The following is a 7515-nucleotide window of genomic DNA, read 5'->3' on the forward strand; positions in this document are numbered from 1 at the left end:
GGTCTACCCATGTTGTTAACAAATTTCCTTCGTGTTTAAGGCTGAATAATATTCCATTATATATACAGTGCCACATTTTCTTTATCCATTTATCTGTCAGTAGACAATTGGGTAGTTTCCCAACACAAATGCCTTGGCTGTTGTACATAATGCTACAATGAACATGAGAATGCAGATATGTCTTTGAGATTCTGACTCCAATTATTATGGATGTATACCCGGGAATGGGATTGCTGGATAACATGCTAGTTCCATTTTTAATTTCTTTGTGAAGGCTCCATACTGTTTTCCATAGTGACTGCATTTCACATTTCTACCAACAGTGTACAAGAGTTCTGATTTCTCCATATCCTTGCCAACACGTGTTATCTTTAATTTAAATAAGAGCCATTCTAACATTGATTAAGATGTTACCTGGGGGATTGTCATAAGTGGCCTTTATTATGTTGAAATACATTCCTGCTAAACCTAGTTGGTTGAGTGTCTTTATCATGAAGGATGTGGAATTTTATCAAATGCTTTCTCTGTATCTATTGAGATGATCATGTGATTTTTATCTTTCATTCTGTTAATCTGGTGTGTCACATGTATTGATTTGCGTATGTTAAAATATCCCTGCATCTCAGGGATAAACCACACTTGATCACGGCATGTGATCTTTTCACTGTGTTGTTGCATTTAATTTGCTAATATTTTGTTGGGAATTTTTGTATCTTTACTCATCGGAAATAGTGACCTGTAGTTTTCTTTTCTTGTAGTGTCTTTGTCTGGCCTTGGTATCTGGGTAATACCAACCTCATAAAATGAAGTTGGAAGTATTTGCTCCTCTTCAATTTTTCGGAAGAGTTTGAGAAAAAATGGCATTAATTCCTCTTTAAGTGCTTGATAGAATTCACCAATGACATCATCTAGTCCTGGGCTTTTCTTTCTTGGGAAGTTTTTGATTGCTGATTCAATCTCCTTACTCATTATTGGTCTGTTTAGATTTTCTGTTTCTCCATGATTCAGTCTTGGTAGGTTGTATGTTTATAGGAATTTCTCCATTTCTACTACGTTATGCAATTTCTTGATGTATAATTGTTCATAGTAGTCTCTTATGATCCTTTTTATTCATGTGGTGTCAACTGTAGTGTTTCCATTTTCATTCCTAATTTTATTTATCTGAGTCTTCTTTCCTTTTTTGTTAGTTAAGTCAGTCAAGGGTTTTGCCAATTCTATTTATCATTTCAGAAAACTAATTCTTAGTTTTGTTGATTTTTTTCTATTGTTTTTCTAGTTCCCATTTTATTTATTTCTGCTCTAATCTTTACTAACTTTCACTAACTTTGGGTTTAGTTTGTTCGTCTTTCTCGAATTCCCTGAGGTGTAAAGTTAGGTTGTTTATTTGAGACCTTTCTTCTTTTTTAAGGCAGGCATTTTTCACTATGAACTTCCCTCTCATTACTGTTTTTGCTGTACTCCATAGTTTTAGTATGTATTGTTTTCATTTTGTTTCTCTCAAGGTATGTCTTGATTTCTCCTCTGACTCATCGAATGTTCAGGAGTGCATTGTTAAATTTCCACATTTTTGTGAATTTTCTAATTTACCTTCTGTTGTTAATTTCTGATTTCATACCATTGTGGTCAGAGAAGATATTTGATATGATTTAAATCTTAAATATGTGAAGACTTATTTTGTGGTCTCATATGTGATCTATCCCAAAGAATGTTCCGTATGTGCTTGAGAAGAATGTGTATTCCTCTGCAGTTTGGTAGAATGTACTACATCAAGGGAGTCCAATCTTTTGGCTTCGCTGTGCCACATTGAAAGAATAATTGTCTTGGGCCACACATAAAATACACTAACAATAACAATAGCTGTTGAGCTAAGAAAAAAATTGTGACAGATCTCATAATGTTTTAAGAAAGTTTATGAATTTGTGTTGGGCTGCATTCAAAGCCATCCTGGGCTGCATGTGGCCTGTGGGCCACGGGTTGGACAAGCTTGCTCTACATATATCCATTAGGTCCATTTGGTGTATAGTGTGGTTCAAGTCTGATGTTTCCTCATTGATTTTCTGTCTGGATGTTCTATCCATTGTTGATTTGATGTGTTGTAAAATGTCCATTAGATTTGTTTTAATCATGTGTGATAAAATACATGGGCACAGAAATGACTATCATGAAGGAAGATTTTTGTATTAATATCTACAGTTCCATAGAAGCAGAAGGCACAGCATGCCACAGAGAAATACATGGGGAAGCAGCAGGGTCAGTCAGGAGCAGAGGGAGTGAGGGGGAAACATGGGCAAGAGTATTGTGTTGGTTGTGTGTGTGTGTGTGTATGTGTTTGTGTGTGTGTATGTGTGTGTGCATGTGTGTGTATGTGGAAAGAGATGCCAAGGCAGGGTAAGTGTGCTAAGTAGGTTTATGATTGGCTAATTGGAATAATTTCAGCAGGCTCTAGGGAGAAGGGCCGCCCCTGGTTGTCAGAAACCTGGACCTGGGGTGATTGGAGCAGGGAAATAATGGCAAGGCATGTGAGAGCTCAACAAAGGGGGTTGTTGAACTGGTTTATTTGCATATGAAAGGAACCCTTGCAGGTAAGTTCTTCACTATGTCTAGGAATTGGGTAGCCCTAAGAGGAAAAGTCTATTCAGGATCAGCCCTAAGAGAGGGAAGTCTCTGAGATGGGAAGGCTCTCTAAGATCAGCAAGGCCCCAGATGCCAAAATGTTAGAAAATAAAAAGGCATGATTAATACATATCTGATAGATTTGTAGCAGCATCAAATTTTTTTAACTCCTAATATTGGTATTTGTGCCGTCTCTCTTTTTTTCTTGCTTATTATTGCTATTGCTTAGCGTTTATCAATTTTATTGCTCTTTTAAAAGAACAAACATTTGTCTGTGTACTAATACATTCCCAACTTTTTATGGCATAAATTAATGGCTACTTGAATTCCATCTGGTGGAGTATGAACTCTAGCACAGTGAGTAATAATGAGTCACTTTTATTGGATACCACTGAATGCAGGACTTTACTGTGATCACTGTGTGGGCAGTGATAACAACTCAGAAATAACATGCAGAGATAACAACCTCATCCTCCGCTCTTCTCATAGACACACAGAACCTTTAGAAATTCATCACTGTGGCAATGTCTTCACAGAGTGGTCCTTGGAGAACCAGCATAAGAATCACCTGAGGACCTTGTTAAAAACTCAAATTCTACATCCCCACCTCAGACCTACCAAATCAAACATACAGCTAGTAATATGCATTTTTGGAAAAATACCTTAGTGAATCTTTTGTAAGATAAAAGTTTTAGAATCATAAAAATTTCAGAATAAGAAATCTAATGGAAAAGGCACAGACCTCACAATTTGAGTTTGCCTTATTTAAATGAGAAAGATATGACATGGCCATATAGGAAAATGCACATAAGTGTTTGCAGAAATCCCATTGCTAGGAACTACATCATGGTTCTGAATCTATTGCCAATCCTCTGACCTTGGCCACCTTGCTGGCCTCCACATCCCTGGGGTGCTTGGTACAAATCTTATTTGTCAAGTTCAAATGGCTGAAGCTTTAAAAACTGCAATCAGAAAGCTGAGGCTGCTGGATCTGCTTCAAGTTCCCCAATCAAGAGTCTCAATTTTAATCCTGGAAGCAATTGATTATAAAGAAGCCTAACGAGATCTGAGTTTTAGTGGCCTCCATTAATTACCTAAATGGAGGGTGAGACTTCACTTGGACAAGGACTGGCACCAAATCCTGCTTCAGCCTTTTAGAGCTGGCTCATAAATCAGAGGATAAGACCAAAAAGAATTTTAAAATTGGACAGAATCATGATCCCATCCAAGAGCCATTTTTATATAATCCTATCCCTGCTTGGTAATTACTAGGCTATGACAATTAATTACTTGCTTTGGATTAAAACCCATTCAGTGCTAGATGGATCATATTTTAGTCTGGTAAGATAAATTGTACTACATTTTACCTGTGCAGAGGTATCAGTAGATGGAGAATGATAAGCTGAACAAAAATGGTTTATTAAAAATAGTCCAGGGACAATTAGTACCTAAACAGCCTGCAGATTCTTTTTTAAAAGGGGTTTTTACTGACTCATAGAGAGCTGGAGTTTCTAAAGTCTTTACAAAAGAACAGCTTCATTCAGCTTCTATATTGAGAACATAGAAATAGTAGTTAGTGCAGGCAAGTCCAGTTTTCAGAAAACTTGAAATGTAGAAACTCAGATTTGCAAACTTTGTAAATAAGGGGATACTCATTACAAAGCTGGGCTGGCTTCCTACCCAGCTCCTGTTCCCTGTAGATATATTCACTAAGCCATTTTCCTGCTGAATCTTGAAATAATGCATGTGGGGGGATTTCAAGAGCCCTCTTATGTCTCCAAACCATATCCTATAACCACCCTTATGCCTCAATCTAGTAATAATAGCAACAACATTTATTAAGCCCTTAGTAGTTACCAAATAATATTTTCAATAATTTTAGGCTTTATTTCATTACATCCTCACAATAACTCTATGAAGTAGGCACTATTATCATCTGCATTTCACCTAGGAGAAACTGAGGCTCAAAATAGCTAGTTAACCTTCCCAGGATCACTGTATCAGTTCTATTGCTGTGTAGCAAACTACCCCAAACCTACTAGATTAAAAGAATAAACATGTATTTGGCTCATAATTCTGTGGATCAGCAATTTTGGCTGGGCTCAGCTGGGTGGTTCTAGACTTGCATGAGGTCTCTGTGGCATGTGTAGTCAGATGCACATCAGATGTGCTCATCTTGACTGGGTTCTTACACAAGTCCGGAGCCTTAGGTGGAACAGCTGAGCTGACTTGTCTCTGCCCCTGTAGGCTAGTGCAAGCATGCTCACATGGCAGCTAAACAGGATTCCAAGAGAGGAAGCTGAGGTATGCAAGTCCTCTTGGGCTGTAGGTTAGAACTGGCACCGCATCACAATTCTGCCCCTTTCTTTTGCCCACAGCATGTCACAGGCTAGCCCAGATTCAAAAGATAGAAAAATAGATTCCTCCTCTTGATAGAAAGAACTGCAAAATTACATTGCAAAGAATGAGAATATAGGGAGGTGTGGAGAATTGAGGCTATTTGGGTTTTTTTTTTTTTTTTTTTTTTTTGGCCATCCATCTACCTGGTTATATAATCGGTCAATTGTAGAGCCAACATTCAGGGGATCCCTTGACTGCACAGCCAGCACCCCGACCACTTTGCCATACTGCCTTCATAACAATGGTTTATCTTCTTTCTGTAACTGGGCCTTGGTTTTACTATTTGAATAAACCCTCTACTTTAGTTAACCTGCTGCTATTCCAATTTTTCCAGGTCTTTAGATCTGCCTGCTTTTGACCTTTGCCCCAATGCCATTCTGCATTAGAGCGCTGCTGGACTCTGCTAAAAGACCTACCCAAAGATGACGGTCTTCCTGCCAAGGGCTATGCCCTGTGATTGGCCCAGACAACCTACTTTGCCATGTGTCACCAAATTCCTTGCATATACTGCTCTGTCACCTCCCAGCACCTCCACAATTTGGCCTAGCACTTCAATGCACTTGTTCACTTATCCATGGATTCGACCCTGTCTACCACTGAGCAGCTCCTATAGTCTTTCACTTCGAAAAGTGATCCATTGTAACAATCTTCTAAATGACTAGTGCCACCCCCTGTTTAAAACAGGATTGTATTTCCTAAAACTCAATATGCAAAGTTTCTGAAACATAGCTACTGCATTGAGTAAGACCCACTGTTAACTGTGAATTCAACTCGAAATTTTTCTCTCCTCTTTGGAGTCAGGCATTGTAGCCAGCCATAGCTCCCTATCCCTGACCTTACCCTAGTTGCTCCTTTTATACCTTTTATACCACACCAGGACTGCCTCTACATTCTTCCCTGAACCCTGCTGTGGCTAAGAATCACGCGGCTGTAACCACTGGACAAGGGATCTCATTATCCTCAAGATAGTGTATTAAAACCAGATATTTATCTGTAGTTGGTGTATTTGCTTTTTTGCAGACACTGTTAGTTTTGGAAACTTTAAAAAGTAAATTGTTAGACACATTGAGACAGAGCAGAGCCATGGTAGGTCAACCACTTCACTGAGTATGTCACCTTTGACAAATTGTTTCTCTGTTCAGCACTTCAGTTTTCTCATCTACACACGGAAATTATTAGATTAGATGATTGCTCAAGTCTCACCAAGTTTTAACATTTTCTTTCTTTTTCCCTCCCTTCCTCCCTTTCTCTCCCTCTCCCTCTCTTTCTTTCTCTCTCTCTCTTTCTCCCCTTCTTTCTTTCTTTCTCTCTCTCTTTTTCTTTCTTTCTTTCTTTCTTTCTCTCTCTCCCTCTCTTTCTTTCTCTCTCTCCCTCTCTTTCTCTCTTTCTCTCTTTCTCTCTTTCTCTCTTTCTCTCTCTCTCTCTCTCTTTCTTTCTTTCTTTCTTTCTTTCTTTCTTTCTTTCTTTCTTTCTTTCTTTCTTTCTTTCACTTCTTTCTTTCTTTCTGTCACCCAGGCAACTCCAGTGCACACCACTGGAGTATAGCCATATGAACTCACTGCAACCTCTGCCTCCCAGGTTCAAGCCTTCCTCCCACCTCAGCCTACCCAGTAACAGGGACTATAGGCATGAACCACCACACCCAGCTAATTTTTGTTTGTTTGTTTGGTAGAGACAGGGTTTCACCCTGCTGCCCAGGCTGGTCTTGAACTCCTGGGCTCAAGTGATCCACCTGCTTCAGCTTCCCAAAGTGCTGGGATTGCAGGAGTGAGCCACGATGCCCAGCAGTTTTAACATTTTCTGATTTGAAATATTTGTTCAGCACCTACTATATACATGGAAGGATCAGAGTCAGCAGCAGAGGAGCTACTTGAGTACAACACAGGACATCAGGTCACCCTAGCAGGAATGTTCATAAAGCCATTAGCCTGCAGCATGTCTGAGGCCATACTATGCACCCTTGCTCATATCCTGATTAATCATCCACATCCTGTGATAATGCCCCACAACATCTGCAGTATTGCAGGTAATATTTCTGAATTCTTCCCATTGCAGATTCCAGTTGCAAATAACAGAATCCTCTCTGTCTCAGCATTTTTAAGCCAGGGTATGTCTACCACTCTTCCCAAGACATGAATAGTTTTAAGGGAATCAATTGGTATAATCTCATTTTCCATATGTACTTTCATAAAACTGTTCTACTTGGAGTTGGGGTGTTTTGTTGGTTTTCTATTTCTACCTTCTCATTGAAAACTGTTAATTACTTTTCAAAAGAAAATCATAACATTTTATTAATTTTATTTGAGCATAAAAATACATAACATTAATTAATTAATTAAATGTTATACACCAATCCTATGGTGCATTGATCTAGGATTTAGAAATTTCCAGGGTATCAATCAAAGTACAGTTTCCAATATTTGTGTCAAGGAATCTCCTTGATCCAAGGAATATCAAGGCTGGTACTTCTTATATTGCATGTACATCTATTAAGGAATGACT

The 7515-nt window shown here is 38.7% G+C and overlaps 1 annotated feature.

Annotated features, from left to right (window-relative positions):
* Nucleotides 2272–3013: an enhancer, noted in NCBI's record as "OCT4-NANOG hESC enhancer chr20:4526897-4527638 (GRCh37/hg19 assembly coordinates)". NCBI's record gives its function as "activates a minimal SCP1, AML or CMV promoter by ChIP-STARR-seq in primed H9 embryonic stem cells {active_cell/tissue: H9 hESC(primed)}" and the evidence as "EXISTENCE:reporter gene assay evidence [ECO:0000049][PMID:30033119]".

Source organism: Homo sapiens, chromosome 20 (genome assembly GCF_000001405.40).
Source record: "Homo sapiens chromosome 20, GRCh38.p14 Primary Assembly".
Lineage (NCBI taxonomy): Eukaryota > Metazoa > Chordata > Mammalia > Primates > Hominidae > Homo > Homo sapiens.